Source organism: Homo sapiens, chromosome 7 (genome assembly GCF_000001405.40).
Source record: "Homo sapiens chromosome 7, GRCh38.p14 Primary Assembly".
NCBI classification, from domain to species: domain Eukaryota; kingdom Metazoa; phylum Chordata; class Mammalia; order Primates; family Hominidae; genus Homo; species Homo sapiens.
In genome coordinates, this window is record NC_000007.14 from 111,946,947 (window position 1) to 111,965,117 (window position 18,171).

General features: G+C 38.9%; 1 protein-coding gene and 1 pseudogene across 14 annotated transcripts in view, besides 3 other annotated features; both read right to left on the bottom strand.

The window, feature by feature from the left end:
• The window catches only part of DOCK4 (dedicator of cytokinesis 4), a 480,290-nt gene that overhangs the window by 220,837 nt on the left and 241,282 nt on the right, over nucleotides 1-18,171 (bottom strand). The gene's annotated exons all lie outside the window — the stretch shown is intronic.
• Nucleotides 5,129-5,667: an enhancer, noted in NCBI's record as "NANOG hESC enhancer chr7:111592130-111592668 (GRCh37/hg19 assembly coordinates)". NCBI's record gives its function as "activates a minimal SCP1, AML or CMV promoter by ChIP-STARR-seq in naive and primed H9 embryonic stem cells {active_cell/tissue: H9 hESC(naive and primed)}" and the evidence as "EXISTENCE:reporter gene assay evidence [ECO:0000049][PMID:30033119]".
• RNA5SP237 (RNA, 5S ribosomal pseudogene 237) lies at nucleotides 6,707-6,819 on the bottom strand (annotated as a pseudogene).
• Nucleotides 15,883-16,667: an enhancer, noted in NCBI's record as "NANOG-H3K27ac-H3K4me1 hESC enhancer chr7:111602884-111603668 (GRCh37/hg19 assembly coordinates)". NCBI's record gives its function as "activates a minimal SCP1, AML or CMV promoter by ChIP-STARR-seq in primed H9 embryonic stem cells {active_cell/tissue: H9 hESC(primed)}" and the evidence as "EXISTENCE:reporter gene assay evidence [ECO:0000049][PMID:30033119]".
• Nucleotides 16,668-17,450: an enhancer, noted in NCBI's record as "NANOG-H3K27ac-H3K4me1 hESC enhancer chr7:111603669-111604451 (GRCh37/hg19 assembly coordinates)". NCBI's record gives its function as "activates a minimal SCP1, AML or CMV promoter by ChIP-STARR-seq in primed H9 embryonic stem cells {active_cell/tissue: H9 hESC(primed)}" and the evidence as "EXISTENCE:reporter gene assay evidence [ECO:0000049][PMID:30033119]".

Consider the following 18,171-nt stretch of genomic DNA (forward strand, 5'->3'; position numbering starts at 1 on the left):
TAAACCCACAAAAAATTAATCTACCAGCTACTGTGAGCTTCAAATTTTAACTGAATTTCAATATCCTGGTATCAATGACAGAATTAAATAGTTGGCTGTCTCAGGCAATGAGCACACAACCAACATCTACAGAATGTAAAATGCTGTAGCTTTGGTCAGTGTAGCTTCAGTCTAGGGAACAAGCAGGGAAATGGAGAGCAGGACATTAATAAAAGGCTTAGAACCAAGGAAGCCTCTATGTTATCACCCGATCCTTGCCTTAAATAATGGTTCTGTCATTCAAATACATATAAGAGGAGATATGAGAACCATAAACAGATCTCTAAGGAAGCACATGAATTTGAATTTATGGCTGTTTTGGAACACTTATTCTCTTTGGTGATCTAAGTCTAGATAGATACGTTTAACAGAATCAACTACCTGGCTTATCTCATCTTTTACTTATGTCTATTGCTGACTTCTCATATGAGAAAGGGCAGCCAATACATATTTCTATGGGGTCATTTTCACTCTTATTACCTATATTTTTTCCCAGAAAACAGATGGCCAATAAGGCATGCATGAAGAGAATAAAAATTGCTGTAAGTATCCTCAATTGAAGCTAAAGTTCACATGTGATATTATTCCAAACTGGAGGCTGGGAATGACACCTATACTGAGGGTGCAGAGATAAATTAATGTTATCCAATTGTCATTTACTATAATTCAAGGAAAATGACTATAAGCTCTCTTCACAGTAAAAGAAAATAAAATTCATTATTATTTCAAATTTATCATTTTAATTTTTTTTGGGTCGGGGGGAGGTCTCACTCTTTCACCCAGGCTAGAGTACAGTGGCACAATCTCGGCTCACTGCAACCTCTGCCTCCCGGGTTCAAGCGATTCTCCTGCCTCAGCTTCCAGAGTAGCTGGGACTACAGCTGTGTGCCACCACACTCGGCTAATTTTTGTAATTTTTTTTAGTAGAGATGGGGTTTCACTATGTTGGCCAGGCTGGTTTCAAACTCCTGACCTCAGGTGATTCTCCCGTCTTGGCCTCCCAAAGTGCTGGGATTACAGGCGTGGGCTACCAGGCCTGGACTATTTCAAATTTAAAAACAATGAAAAGGAAATGTGCAAGAATTCATCTTGGGACAAAGGAATTATACTTTAACCATATTATTAGGTAATACATTTTTGGGAATTTACCATTTGACAGGTACTCTGCCAAGGACTTTACATAAATTATCTCATTTTATCCTCACTATGCCTTTAGGAAATAGGTACTATTATAATGACCATTTTACATATGGGAAAACTGCGAAATAGTAAATAGTTTTACTCAAGGTCACAGAGATGATGTGTGGCTGAGCAAGGATTCTATTCCATGTATTAATTCAAAACCCTAGCACTCCATTAGAATGCTATAAGGTAACTTTCTCTTCTTCTCTATAGAAATATCGAGTAAATATTTCCAGAATACTGAGATAAAGGAAAAGCCATCATTTGCCTGACCCACTCAGCAGTCAAGCCTGATCCCAAGAGTTCAAGGTAACTTTCTCCATACCCTTCCTGGGTTAAGAGGAATGAAAGAGGTGAGAATCCTGATTTAGCAGGTTTCAAAGAGGTCTTTGGTTTGAAATTGTTCTTTGGTAGTTTTCTTTTCTTCTTCTTTTTTTTTTTCCCGAGACGGAGTTTCACTCTTGTTGCCCAGGGTAGAGTGCAATGGCGCGATCTCGGCTCATTGCAACCTCTACCTCCCGGATTCAGGCGATTCTCCTGCCTCAGCTTCCTGAGTAGCTGGGATTACAGGTGTGCACCACCACGCCTGGCTAATTTTTGCATTTTTAGTAGAGACAGGGTTTCACCATGTTAGTCAGGCTGGTCTCGAACTCCTGACCTCAGGTGGCCTCCCAAAGTGCTGGGATTACAAGTGTGAGCCACTGCGCCCAGCCAGTAGTTTTCTTTAACGAAACATGCTTAGAAAAAAAAAAAAAGACTTGAGAAACAAATTATTTTATTAAACAAACACAAAACACAAAACTCCAAAAAGATTTAAGAACTCAGCTTTACTTAGTCGAAACTGCTAAGGTTTAAGGATGATATTTAGTCTGTTTCTTAGTAATCAGTTACCTACTAATGTATTTATTGATTACATTTTAGCACAAAACATAAGCAATGTGAGCATTTTCCCTTCTCCTATATCATGGACAGCATGTTCTACTTTATATTTTTTGAGATGTAATGAGGTTTGAAGCTCCTCATTACCTCTACAGAAACATTCAAAGCAAATTTCACATTATCTTGGTCAGTCTAAAAAGATGGACACCAATAAGATTAAAATACAGAAGTCAATAGGGCATTTTCAATATTAAAACCTTAACTTTAACACTGACATAAAATCCAATTCCATATCTGTACATTTCATCAAAATTCTGGAAAACAATGTTTCCTAAAGTATTCTATTGCAGAAACAGATCCTTTTTGCTCTGTCACTATTTTAATTTCACTAGTTTACACAGAATCCTGATTATGCAAGTATTATACTATATCATATCCTGTTTCAGAAAGAATATCAATATGTCCTAAGCCAATGACATATACCTTAGCTTAAGCATGCCTTAAGGGGAAGATACAAACAGACTGAAAATGGGTACTATGGAGAAATAAGTCATGTACAGTTCTTTTAAAAGCCAGACTTCTTTTAAAAGAAAAAAGAAAAAAAAAAGGAAAACATCTATGGCCAATAAAAAAAATTCTTTTTATTCATTTGATGACATGCTATTGTTATGCCAACTCAAATCAATTTATCTTCTGCTTTAGTGATACAGCCACTAATCACTCAGCAAATGGTTTTGGACAAAAAAAGACCTATATTAACGTATTTTGGAATCTTTGGATTATTATTACTCACCCACACTGAAATGTTTGGAGAATATCAGAAGGTATGCCTTCAACGCCCAGAAAAAAACTGAACAAGTCAATAATACTGCATTCTTTTTTTTCCTTTCTTTCTTTTGAGACGGAGTCTCGTTCTATCACCCAGGCTGGAGTACAGCAGCGCGATCTCAGCTCACTGCAACCTCCGCCTCCCAGGTTCAAGTGATTCTCCTGCCTCAGCCTCCAGAGTAGCTGGGACTACAGACGCATGCCACCCCACTCAGCTAATTTTTAGATTTTTTGTAGTGACAGGGTTTCACCATGTTGGCCAGGCTGGTCTCCAACTCCTGACCTCAGGTGATCTGCCTGCCTCACCCTCCCAAAATGCTGGGATTACAGGCATAAGCCACCGTGCCTGGCCAATAATATTGCATTCTGGCACATCTTCTGAAATTCTCCAAATATTTTGTGCAAACTTTTGTGGCCACACAGAAATATGTTTTTGACAGTCTATTCTAAGTCTGTTCTATCGCAACTCTGTGGTAAGTATGATCAGATGACAAAATTAGTTTTTGTAAACTTAAAAAATGTCCTTCCAAGATATGCATACCTCCATTACATACATCATTTAGACTTTTTTCCTAAGTGGAAGAGAAGTTTATATGTTTCTTTCCTATTACATGGTGAGCAACTAGAATACAGGCCCATGAGTATTAACCTTTTTGTATCTTCAACTCCTAGTGAATGATTTGGTATTCTTAGATGTTTGATAAGACTAACCAAATACAATCTTTTAGGACAAAATAGAATAACACTCAAATAACTGGAAAGTTTTAATTCTCTCCAAACTTTCCCATTATGTCCTTTACTTTATGGTAGGGAAATGTATGAAACTCTGCAAAAAGATATTTCAATCCATGATGCCTCACGACCTGACTCGAGATTCTCATATTAACTTCGTGGCACCCCAGATTCCAGATTATTCCATTTAATGCTGTCCTCATGAACATTTTATATCTTTATTATATTCAACATACAGTAATAAAAAACTATACTGATATGTTTTCAAATGAGAATACTGTCTTCCTCTTCTTACAGAATGAATAAGCAAATAGAACATTTCTAGAAACACTGAGAAATGAGAGTTGGTATTATTAACAGCAGAGAAAACTCATTATTTGACTTCCCCATATACTGCCATGTTCTTCCAGAGGCAATCTCTCCGCAGGAGAAATTTAGTGTCCACCTGAATTCCATGTATGAGTCATTATAAATCATGATACTATAAATCAAAAATGACTATTTCTTTGGAAATAAAGAAAAACAAACCACAATTATTTATTATTTATAACCTTTCTTCTTCCAACAATGATTTGATGAAATCAGGATAATGAAATAAGAACATAAATAAGCATTCCTGGAAAAAATCATAAAGGCAAATGTGTACCCTGTGCCAGACCCTATGACTTATGCCTTACATAGCTCTTCTCATTTAATTCTCCTCACCACAGTAGGAGGTGGAAACCACTGTTGTGCCCATTTGTCATCCCAGTGAGAAAGCAGAAGCTAGGAGATATTAGATAAGTTGGCCAAAGTTGTGTGGTCAGTCAAGGATGGGGCCAGGATATTAAATTCCAGAGTCTGATTTGAGAGTCTCACCTTTTAACCAAAATGCAACCCTCTCTTTGAAAGAACAGGGCACCTCAGAGCACCAAAGAAGGCATGGTATGGTAGCTCACTACTGGTAATCTCAGCACTTTGGGAGGCTGAAGTGGGAGGATCACTTGAGCCCAAGAGTTCAAAACCAACTTGGGTCAACATATTGGAAACCCCATCGCTACCAAAAAAAAAAAAAAAAGAAGAAGAAAGAAAGAAAGAAAAAAATTAGCCAAGCATGGTGGCACATTCCTATAATCCCAGGCACTCAGTAGCTGAGTAGTCCCAGCTACACAGAAGGCTGAGGTGGGAAGACTGCTTGAGCCTGGGAGGTCAAGGCTGCAGTGAGCCATGATCGCACCACTGTACTCCAGTGGGGTGTACTCCAGGGGTAAGACCTTGTCTCAAAAAAAAGAAAGAAATGGACAAAGAAGAGCAAAACTAACTATGTCACACAAACCAAGAGTTTTTGTGTGAATATTCTTAATAAAATTAAAACATAATAATTACAAATGGCCAAGCACAGTGTCACACTCCTGTTGTCCCAGCTACTCAGGAGGTTGAGGCAGGAGGATTACTTGAGCCTAGAGGTCAAGTTCAGTCTGGGCAAGATAGCAAAGTCCCTGTCTGCGAAAAAAAAAAAAAATCAACCAAATAAATGAATAAACAAACAAAACTGCATGAAGCCAAATGAAAAAAACAAAAAGCCACAACATATCTGTGTTTATGGAAATTACACCTGTGACCAACTGCTCAGTTGAACTACTGATATTCTGATGTACTCAAAAAGACCTCTAATGATGACAAGTGTGTTTCACAGCATAGTGTGGTAGAAATGTTCTTCCTGGTCATGCAAATAATATAGGAGGCACAGTAGGGATCTGAAGGTCCTGATGGCTTCTCTTCTGTTTCTCAGTAGGATGCTTCTGTCCTCTGTGCCTCCTTGTAAACCACTCAGTAGAAGTAACCCTTCAGTTGGGAAGGCCAATATCAAAAATTTTGACATTTTACATGAAATATATTTTTATATTTCACATAAAAATTGTTCTATCTTTCTGCATGGATTTATATTTATCACTTTTATAGTTCACCTCACATAAGAAGTAAAACTGTCTAGTGATTCAATGAGCATGAAAGTTACACAACATGTACTTTTATCCAAAAATATATGACTGGGTAATATCTTCGGTTGAAACATGTTGTGAGAAAGATTAGCAAGCTAATCAATCCACAAAAAATTACAAAGAACGCTTGTAAAATAATTTTCAACAGTTAAATATCATTGAAATAGATTTATGGTCTCCAAGAAGAACAATAACAACAGAGAACACATTTAGACGGTCATGTTCTATTAAACTAATTGGAAAAACAACTGTCATTTTTTTTATACTCAAACCAATTTTACAAAAACAAAAACAAAAACAAAAATCCCATGTAGCATATCTGAAAAAGCAGTCATTTGTCTTAAATTGAACTATGCTAATCTGGGCACAGTGACTCACGCCTGAAATCCCAGCACTTTGGGAGGCAGAAACAGGCAGATCACTTGAGCCTCGGAGTTCAAGATCAGCCTGGGCAACAGGGTGAAACCTTGTCTCTACAAAAAATTTAAAAAATTAGCCCGGTGGGGTGGTGCATGCCTGTGATCCCAAGTACTCAGGAGACACAGGTGGGAGGATCACTTGAGCCCAGGAGGCAGAGGTTGCAATGAGCTGATATCTGGGATAACAGAATGAGACCTTGTCTTAAAAAAAAAAAAAATTAACTACGCTGTTTGAAGAGTGTGAGGATAACAATTAATACCCATTCTACACTGAGTAGGTGTGAAGGGAGACACACCAGAAGCTAAGGGGTGGTAAGATGGACGAAGGAATAATGAGAAGAGCTAAGAGGATGGTTCCAGGGTGCAGTGCTGACCCTAGAGCCTCTCCCTAAAAGGCAATAGAATACAAACGTAAGGTGATCTGAATTGTTTCTATTTCACTGCTTCTCCTGCATTCTGTCAAATGTTTTCTGATTGCCTAACAGTGTAAGATATGTCCAATAATCTGCTGTGGGAGACCAGAATACGGCACCCCAAAATATACTTCTTTGGCATAAGAATTGTTGAGCTAAAGGCAATTAAGAAGTAGGTGCTGTAAAGCTCTCTGCCTTCCCTCTAATTGCCTAAAGGCAATGCATAGATTTACAAAAACAAAAAGAATCTTGCCTCTCTTAGACCATGTAAGTACTAACAGGCCTGGCCTTGCTTAGTTTCTGAGATCAAACAAGATCAGGCACATTCAGGGTGGCATGGTCATGGGCCTGCCCCTTCTTCTACCAGGGAGAACAAAGGTTAACCACAGATGACAATTTTAAACGTTACAGGCCTGGAGATGGCACCAGAGGTATCCCTACCAACACTCTTTATCAACTAGCCTTTGTCTGCCAGTTATTTGCCTTCCTAGAAGTTGCCTCCCTAGAGACTTCAAGTCCTGTTTGGTCTTGTCATTTCTCCAAAATGTACTGTTCTTTCTTGAAGACACTATATAAGCTGGAATTCAAAGCCACCTCTTTGAGAATTTCTCATTCCCTATGTATTAATATATCTCATTTATGTATGAAATATACATGTTAGTAAACTTCTGTTTTTCTCTTTTTAATTTGTCTTTTGATAAAGAGGACCATTCCAACTAAGAATGTATGAGTGTTAAAGAAAAAATTATTTTCCTTCCCAAAACTGTGAAGAGAGCTGTTACTGTGGTCTCGCCTAGAATAACAAAGGACAATTCAGAAAAGCTCAGGCCGCACTATAAATTGCTCTATTTATGCCCCCAAGAAACCAGTGCTACCTCTGTCCAGGCAAGATACTTTGGGAAGCAGCTGGAAGGTGTGCTGGCAGTTCTGCAGTGGCCGCTGGACTACGGGGCTTTGGTGCTTATGATGGCAGAGATGAAGGACATTCGAATAGATGCCCTATGTACAGGGAATGATCAGTGGTAAACAGAAGAGACCCAAGGGCCTTCTAATTCAGTGGTTCCCAACTGAAAGATTCTCCCCAGGGCCTGAAAGCTTAAGGGAATGAATAACTCCTCCCTCCTCAGGCCCAGTCCCAAGGCGCAAGACCCAGCAGCGTGCGTCAGCAAGATAGCAGAAGCAGGAAGAGAGGTGGCCGGAAGACACATACCCCCTGAAGATGGAGAGGGAGACTGTCCGGGTACTACGTAGCTGTCATGTCAGACTGGGACACTTCCTGTTTACAGAGGGCTATAAAACCCCTGCCCCGTCCTCACATGGGGCTGATGCCATTTTAGGCCTCGGCCTGTCTGCACCCAGGCGCTCATTAAAACAGGGTACTGCTCCACACTGCCTTGTGTTGTTTGTTGGCGTGCTCTCAGGGTTCGAACCGATACAAAGAGCCTCGCACCAACCTGATTGTGTACAATATTCTCCTGGTGAGCTGTATAAAGCCCAGGCCCCACCCTGGAGATCCTGATTGACTGGGTCAGGATGGACCTAAAAGCTTCCTGTTTGTTTAAAGCCCAGCCATGTTAAAGGACCACTGTTTTTACCCAAAAGCCCTAGTCTTAATTAATCAGAATTGCTGACTGTTTTATGATAGTCATGTATACCAGAAAACAGGCAATGTACGCCTGGTATCTTAGGGTCGAAGACTTTTCCCCTCTTCCTCCCAACCACATGAGAACACAAATGACAGAGTTTTTCCTTGGCAATAAATGAAAGCAACTTCTCAAGCAAGTCTTCCTAGATAAGATTATTAATGTGCTTTCTAATTTTAAAACTAAAGCAAAGTTAGAGTCATGAGCTCTTCTGATTAAAGGGAAATGGAAAGAGGAAGATCTCTGATACAACTGTTTCCAGAGTTTACTTAAAGAGGAGATAGATGATGTTTTCTTTTAAAAATATTAATGCTCAAGCCCATATTCACCTTACAAATAATTGAGTGTTGAGGACTATGCAGCCAAATGATGTGATGGCTTTGTTGGCACATAAAGAATTTGGGTTTAGTTGAATGACACAACAGGAGACATATTTTTAAACTATAGCCAATTCCATTGCCAATTTTGAATAACAAGCCAATTCTTTCTTACTAGTCAGGATGATTATTGTGTACAATATTCTCCGTCACGCTATTTGTCTTTGCAGAAAAATAAAGATATCTGAAACAAATATCTCTGTTTTTAGGAAAGGTAAAATTTTAGGAAAGAGTTTTTAGGAAGGTAAAATTCAATAAAAAAGGAATATAATACTCTTTAAAATTATAAATAATGTTCAGATCAGCTGCTGTTTCACATCTTCTGTGCTGTTACCAGATTAAGCAATTGGTGAATTAAAGAAATGATTTTGACTGACTGTTGATTTAAGAAAAACAGCTGTGACTTTAAGTTCAGAAGACTTGAGACCTTAGAAATCTTGAAGTTCGTTTCAAGTAAAATCCTTAGAAAAAGGCCTGCTGTATAACTAAACTGAGAAAAATACTTGCTTGAGTCTCTCTCTGGAGAACTCATTAAGAATTTCACTAAAAAATGAGTTCCTTAGAGAAGTAACCAAAAGTAGGCACAGAGAGGATCTGGTCAACACAAACAGGGACCATGAAATGAGAAAGCCTCTATGTAGGCAGAATGCGTTCTGCTTATCATTCTGGGAATTTATATCATTTGATCATTGTAAACACTGTATCTTTGACATTTCGTGAGAAAAGAATCACTCTGATCTATATTCAGAAATTATTCTGACCTTTCTAACATCTTTTCATTAGGAATGTCTATAATAAGGAAAGTTAAAGTAAAGTAAACCTGAGCTCTTTATAAGTACTCTGAGTTGAAGCATGCAGTTTCTTAAAAAGGCAGAAAAGCCATAAATAAACACAGAATAAGTATAAAAATCCATGTCATTCAAGCCCTGCAAAAACAGTAAGTATAATAAATCGTTCATGCATTTACTATCTTAGAGAGATTTTCTTTTTTTCATGAAATTATGTCTGTGAAAGGAAAATAAAAACTTGGGACCCCCAATTCACTCTGCCAAAGGGAAGAAGATTAAGCTGAAAGCTGAGTCACGCAAGAAGCTGCCTTTCCTTTTGCTCCTAAGCAGAGAGCTACAGATAAGAGGTTAAATATCTCCACAGGTAGTTACTCTATGTTCACCTTATTGTCTGTAAAGTGTTCATTTACTGAGCGTGAGATGAATACATAATTGACTATTCCCCTATCTATTTCTTTTCTCTTGCAACATGTGGATTCAGTAATGTGACCACCTTCTTCTTTCCCCTCCAGCCTGCCTTTTCCCTTTAAATATGAAGTCTCAATATTCTCATCTTCAGAGAAAGGCACAGACCTGTCTCCTAGGTGCATGCCCTTAACCTTGGCAAAATAAACTAAATTGACTGAGATCTGTTTCAGATACATTTTGCTTTACAAGCCAAAATCAAATTTCCATTCCAATAGCTTTTACTGATGGACACAACATCTTACTGATAGATTCTTTATATTCATTATAACTTTTAAAAATGAAAATGATCTAAAGCATCATTAAATACTATTTATTAATTAGATGACTCATTCAACTGTATTTTTTGAAGATCAGGTGCTTTTTTAACCTGGGAGCTACAAAGCTTAACTGATAGGAAAATGTTAATGCTTATGAGAACAGGTATATTATTTTCTGTTGAAGTCTATAGTTTATATACTTCTAAAAAGAAATCTTTGGTACTGAAAAAGTTAGGAACCATTGCTTTAGACATGTGAAATAAAAATCGCATATTGGATACCATACAAAGGGCTGATACAGAAACTGGTGAAATAAGGAAATGATTTTGATTTATTGTTAAGAAATGTGAAATACTTTTGTAAAATAAAAATTGCATATTGGGCACCATACAAAAGGATGATAAAGAAACTGGTGAATTAAGGAAATGATTCTGACTGACTGTTGATTTAAGAAAGATAGCCATGACTCCAAGTTCAGAAGACTTTAGAAATCCCAAAGTTCATTTCAAGTAAAATCCTTAGAGGTATACTATATAACTAAACAACCTGGAAAAAATACTTGCTTGAGTATTTTGAACATCAGTAGACTACAAGCTGTGTCTACTAGCAAAGTTTTATCTTTGGAAAAGGAACTAACAAGGACTGCATCAATGATAATTGCTTTGTTAATCTCGAATCGTCTTACAACATATTAATAAATGGCATGAAGGCAGGAATTTTTTGTTCCTGTTTTATTCAATGATGTGTTCCCAGTGTCCAAATGAGTGTATGGCCCTGAGAAGGACAGTAAGAATTGTTTGCTGAATAAATAAATGAATGAACGAATGAACATCAGCAATTCCACAAGAACAGTGTGAACTTCATAAAGCTCAACTGAAATAAAAAGAAGATGCAGTCTCTATTTAATTTGTAGTCCAAAAATCTCTACATGGAAATACTTAGGGAAAGATGCTACACATTTATCTGACAATTTTTATGTACTTTTTTTAGCATGACAGTGTTTGCAAATGATGTTTCCCCAGAGACAGGGCTGAGAGCACAGTTCTTATTAGCACAGTGTAACATGAAACAACTCTATAAACATTTTTGATGCACTCAACACTTTGAGTACTCTCTCTTCTTAATAAGCACATCCCCACTGCAGTGGAAAGATGATAGCAAAAATTAAGATAATAATAGCATGATCTCTTAATGCTTTGCCTCAACAACAATCTAAGACTTGTAAGCTTCCTCTAACTGCATCAATCCCAACCCTGTGTCAGGCGCACTACAAGGTGCTGAAAACATCTAGATGATGAGTGGGCAAAGTCTTATCTTTGGAAAAGGAACTAAGAAGAACTCATCATTAACAATTCCTTTGTTAATGTTGAACCATCTTACAACACAAATGGCGTTGAATACCAAAGAAGTCCTTGTGAGGTGGGTTGCTAAGTGTGACCATAGCTTATCCTGTAGGGAACTTAGGAAAACTAAATAATTCTGAATACCTTATGGGTAGCAGACATAGGGCAAAGGAAAAAAGACAGAGATGACCCGAATCCTAGTGAAAAGAACATCAATCTGGTTATCTTTTAAAACACAGGCATAGGTGTAAGAGGACCTTCTGGTCACTTTCTAAAATCCTGCACTATTTAAGTAAAAAGAGACAAGTAGCTTGAATAATCACAGCTTAGAGTGAAAGGGAAAGAGAAAGTCAGTTCTGAGTTCACACTGACTCTATGAGTTTTTGGTTTTCTGCAACTTGGAATTTCGGGCCACCTATTATTATAATAACACATTATAATGATGCAGTAATTTACAACTTCGAAAACAACTAGAATTGTATGGCTCTTAAAAAGCTACAGAGAAAAAAGTGAATCAGTTCTACCCTGGGTGCTCTCAGTATGAATAAAGCATTTCTTTGCTTGTTGTGTATTAATTTAGATCCTCCTCCTTGCTCATTTCATATTTAAAACTCTCCCATTATTGACATAACAACATCTCTAAAGCAATTATTTGTGATTTTCTTTTTTATGTGACACAGAATTGTGACCAAAGGGGGAGTAAACCGCAAATCTGATTAACTCTGAAGTGACAACACTCCCACATTTCATGCACCTGCTGGAACAATCAAATGATGGAGAAGAGGGAGGGCAGAAAGCAGGAGTGCCTTTCAACAGGAGGCCCGAGGGAAGGTCGCTGTGGGTCACTGACAGGCAGGCAGACACCCACAGAGAAATCTGTGCCAGCATGTCTAGACATGGCAGGAAATGCTCTGGGCCATATGGAATAGATGATATTGCCACAATCCAAGGAGGGTGTCTGAATGCCGTCTCCATCTATTTTTGTTCTCAAACAAAGTTGTACTCCCTGCACGTCTGGCCGGTCAGACATTTTCCCTACATTACTGCTCTGCTTTGGAGACGTCACATTTTTGAGCTGATTTTATAACATGAAGCTACAAAAAGGGATCTATGCCCATGATTGATGTTCAAAACAATATATGCTCCTAATTTATATAACAATATAGATGCTGAACTTCTGCGATCATGCTATACATTTTAAATGATGTATGAGACGAGAAATACTAGCACAGTGCAGGGAGTGAAAAAGCCATATCTGCTCTCTTAACTATGTTATGCACTAGCATACATACACAAAAATATTAGCATTTTTTACTAGTCTGGGCCAAATAACAATTCTCCCTAACAGTTCTTTCTGTAAGCTCTTGAAAAATTTTCCTAACAACTCAGTCTTTTCAAAAGAAGCATAATTCTTTCATTTCCTTTTAAAATTGAAAAGGCTATTAGATTGTATCAGCCTCACCCATTGGAAGCTATGATGGTAACTTCTTAGATTTTCCTTGTGACACAGAATTCTCAATTTTCTCATTCTTTTCCACCTATGATGTTTCAGTCTCCAAACTTACCACCTGCTTCTGATCCCTATTTGCTAAGCACATCCAGCAAAAGCTAACCTGGGAGTCTGGATGCACTAGCAATTTCAGACGTCTCCCATTGGTGCGGCCATCACTGCACTCAGCAATTCTATGAGCCCTCACTCACTCCCTATTACACTTTTCTTTTTTACACTTAATTATTTATATATTTTTAACATTTTACTTATTTATTTATTTAGAATTGATAAATAAATGGCCTGGGTGCAGTGGCTCACGCCTGTTATCCTAGCACTTTCGGAGGCTGAGGTGGGAGGATCACGAGGTCAGGAGATGGAGACAATCCTGGCTAACACAGTGAAACCCCGTCTCTACTAAAAATACAAAAAATTAGCAGGGCGTGGTGGCATATGCCGGTAGTCCCAGCTACTTGGAGGCTGAGGCAGGAGAATCGCTTGAACCCGGGAGGCAGAGGTTGCAGTGAGCCGAGATCGCGCCACTGCACTCCAGCCTGGGCAACAGAGCGAGGCTCTGTCTTAAAAAAAAAAAAAAGAAAAGAAAAAAGAATTTATAAATAAAAATTGTATATATTTATCAATTCTAAATAAAACATGTTGTTTTGAAATACGTATACATTGTGGAATGGATAAATCAAGCTAACCTACCATGAGGTAAAACACGTGCTTTACCTCATGTGCTTTTTTTTTTTTTTTTTTTTTTTTGGTGATGAAAACACTTAAAATCTACTCTCTTAGCAATGTGCAAGTATATAATACATTGCTATTAACCATAACCACCATGTTGTACAATAGCTGTCTTGGACTTATTCCTCCTAACTGAAATTTTGTATCCTTCTTTTCCAAAATTCCCTCCCCTAATCCCTAGTAATCCCCCTTCTTCTCTCCACTATGAGTTCAACTTTTTTACACTCCACATGCAGTGAGATCATGCACTCTTTGTCTCTCTGTGCCTGGCTTATTTCACTTAACATAATGTCCTCCAGGTACATCCATGTTGTCCAAAATGACAGAGTTTCCTTCTTTTTAAGGCTGAATAGTATTCCAAAGTGTATATATACCACATTTTCTTTATCCATTCATCTGTTGATGGACACTTATGTTGACTCCATATCTTAGCTATTGTCAATAGTGCTGCAGTCAACATGGAAGTGCAGATATCTCTTGCACACACTGGTTTCATTTCTTTAGATGCATGCACGGGGGTTGGATTGCTGGATCCCTATCACACGTTTGCTCCACGTCTGCTTGCCTTCCTCCTACAACTCACTTTCAGTCCTCAGCTCCCTCTGTCCTCTCTTTTGCTCTCCAATGGCAGCTGATCTTGTTTCCCCCTTTACTTAAAAAAGATCAAGGCCACAAACCCAAAGTCTCTTGATTCCATCTCAGCATTTTACACCCATTTCACTTCCTTCATCTTCCGCATTAATAAAAGAAGTGTCCTTCCTCTTTTTCAAAGTAGATTCCTTCACTTGTGTCTGGATCCCTTCTGCCGTTGCTTCAGGATTCAACTTTAAACCTCTACAAACACTCAAAGGGTCTCGGACAGCTGGCACACAACACTTCACTTACTCTTACCATGCTTTCATAGTGAGTGAATGAACTAGTGAATGGGTAGAGGTGATGTGCATTCTTACAACTGGAATTCCCTCACCTTTGGGAGGATAAACCTATACTTATTTAGAATTTCCAGGAAGGTGGCACTGATTTTGCCTGTAAGGCAAAAATCCTTTAAGGATTTAAGCATACAAGGTATTTTCTCTCACAGAATCTTTATTAATCTTCTAAAAGCTGCCTATTTTAAGTCTGAATCAAGGCTCGTGCTTCAAGGGGAATATTATTATAACGTATGTGTGATATAACACTCAATGTCCTAGACCATTAAGAAAACATTCCTCTTAAGTTTTGTCAAGTACATTATGAAAAACGTAACTGTCAGTTCATGTAACGAGTATTTTTATTCTAGGCAGAATGGAATTCAGACCATCATCTATGGGGCTAGTGACTAAACCAATCCAATGTTCTTTAAAGACATTGGAAAAAAATGTCTTTTCTCATTGCTTTATGGCCTACATACAGTATGAAAACATTAATAAATTTTAAGCAGGTAATTCATTAACTATATATACTATATGCTAGAAGTTCAACCAAGAGCTCATATACCTATCACAGGGAATTCATAACCAAGAAATTTTGTCATATTTTCTTCACATATTTTGTCATATTTTCTCCTTTTTGCTTTTTCTTTCTCTTTGTTCTTCCATTGCGGAAGTATTTTAAAGCAAATCACACCTCTGATTCCATTTTACCTTTTACTAGTAGGTCTCTCTAAATATTACATAACTATAATACCATATACCTAAAAAAATAAACAGTTGCTTGGAACATATTTCTTTAAGGCTTCAAGAGCAATCAACACATATTATTTCTGGTTAGGTTAGGTGTATTTCCTGTACTGGTTTTTAAAAATAATCATTCTAATAACTAAGATTTACTGACCAATTATCAGGTAGAAAGTATTACACTAAATTTAATCCTCCAATAACCCCATGGGGAAAGTACTATTATTATCTCTACTTATCAGACAAGTTAACAGCCTTGAGAGACATGAATTAACTTCCCAAAACTGATGTAGCTACTAAATGACAAAGCCAGGACTTGAACTCTTGCCAGCTGACTCCAGAATCTGGCCACTTCGATTACCGTGCGGTACACAAGACACACAAAGGTATGTGTCTTGGGGGTGAAGAGATATCCAGATGTATTTCGGAATTCAGTATGAATCCATATTTCCATATTTAAAAAAATCTTTACCTCACCAATTGCATTCATTACTTTCTTTTTCTTAAATGATAGAATGGAATGATATATCAAATAGAAGGTAATTGTAGGCAATACAAAATTTATATGGAAATGAAGTATTTCAAGAAAAATGGAGTTTAATGAAGTGATGTTAGGAAAAATACCTAGAAAAGTATGTGAATAAGTTACAAGCAGACAGGAAACCTCATCTGTACTTAATTAAGACTTTTTGTATTTAATCATCGGGATAACACTTTTTCCAGAAGTACTACCCTGGTGCTATTTTCTCAAATAAAGGCCCACGCCAGCAGCTCACATGCATGAGCAGCCCTATGCCAGCTGAGTACCAACTGGTGGTACTCAGGTCATATGAAATATATTCTCTGATGAGAATGCAATACGTTAATAGATTAGTCCCAAGACAAATTTACAACTTTAACCGATGAAGCCCTAGAGTACATCAGTAAACAAAGTAATGAAAAGTTATAAGGGAGGTAGTCAACCAGTAAACAGCTTTGTTTTCACTGGTCCATAAAAATTTACTGTCTAGGAGGAGGAGCCAAGATGGCCGAATAGGAACAGCTCCGGACTACAGCTCCCAGCGTGAGCGACGCAGAAGACAGGTGATTTCTGCATTTCCATCTGAGGTACCGGGTTCATCTCACTAGGGAGTGCCAGACAGTGGGCGCAGGCCAGTGTGTGTGCGCACCGTGCGCGAGCCTAAGCAGGGCGAGGCATTGCCTCACCTGGGAAGCGCAAGGGGTCAGGGAGTTCCCTTTCTGAGTCAAAGAAAGGGGTGACTGACGCACCTGGAAAATCGGGTCACTCCCACCCGAATATTGCGCTTTTCAGACCGGCTTAAGAAACGGCGCACCACGAGACTATATCCCACACCTGGCTCAGAGGGTCCTACGCCCACGGAATCTCGCTGATTGCTAGCACAGCAGTCTGAGATCAAACTGCAAGGCGGCAACGAGGCTGGGGGAGGGGCACCCGCCATTGCCCAGGCTTGCTTAGGTAAACAAAGCAGCCGGGAAGCTCGAACTGGGTGGAGCCCACCACAGCTCAAGGAGGCCTGCCTGCCTCTGTAGGCTCCACCTCTGGGGGCAGGGCACAGACAAACAAAAAGACAGCAGTAACCTCTGCAGACTTAAGTGTCCCTGTCTGACAGCTTTGAAGAGAGCAGTGGTTCTCCCAGCACGCAGCTGGAGATCTGAGAACCGGCAGACTGCCTCCTCAAGTGGGTCCCTGACCCCTGACCCCCGAGCAGCCTAACTGGGAGGCACCCCCCAGCAGGGGCACACTGACACCTCACACGGCAGGGTATTCCAACAGACCTGCAGCTGAGGGTCCTGTCTGTTAGAAGGAAAACTAACAACCAGAAAGGACATCTACACCGAAAACCCATCTGTACATCACCATCATCAAAGACCAAAAGTAGATAAAACCACAAAGATGGGGAAAAAAACAGAACAGAAAAACTGGAAACTCTAAAACGCAGAGCGCCTCTCCTCCTCCAAAGGAAAGCAGTTCCTCACCAGCAACAGAACAAAGCTGGATGGAGAATGATTTTGACGAGCTGAGAGAAGGCTTCAGACGATCAAATTACTCTGAGCTACGGGAGGACATTCAAACCAAAGGCAAAGAAGTTGAAAACTTTGAAAAAAATTTAGAAGAATGTATAACTAGAATAACCAATACAGAGAAGTGCTTAAAGGAGCTGATGGAGCTGAAAACCAAGGCTCGAGAACTACGTGAAGAATGCAGAAGCCTCAGGAGCCGATGCGATCAACTGGAAGAAAGGGTATCAGCAATGGAAGATGAAATGAATGAAATGAAGTGAGAAGGGAAGTTTAGAGAAAAAAGAATAAAAAGAAATGAGCAAAGCCTCCAAGAAATATGGGACTATGTGAAAAGACCAAATCTACATCTGATTGGTGTACCTGAAAGTGATGGGGAGAATGGAACCAAGTTGGAAAACACTCTGCAGGATATTATCAAGGAGAACTTCCCCAATCTAGCAAGGCAGGCCAACGTTCAGATTCAGGAAATACAGAGAACGCCACAAAGATACTCCTCGAGAAGAGCAACTCCAAGACACATAATTGTCAGATTCACCAAAGTTGAAATGAAGGAAAAAATGTTAAGGGCAGCCAGAGAGAAAGGTCGGGTTACCCTCAAAGGAAAGCCCATCAGACTAACAGCGGATCTCTCGGCAGAAACCCTACAAGCCAGAAGAGAGTGGGGGCCAATATTCAACGTTCTTAAAGAAAAGAATTTTCAACCCAGAATTTCATATCCAGCCAAACTAAGCTTCATAAGTGAAGGAGAAATAAAATACTTTATAGACAAGCAAATGCTGAGAGATTTTGTCACCACCAGGCCTGCCCTAAAAGAGCTCCTGAAGGAAGCGCTAAACATGGAAAGGAACAACCGGTACCAGCCGCTGCAAAATCATGCCAAACTGTAAAGA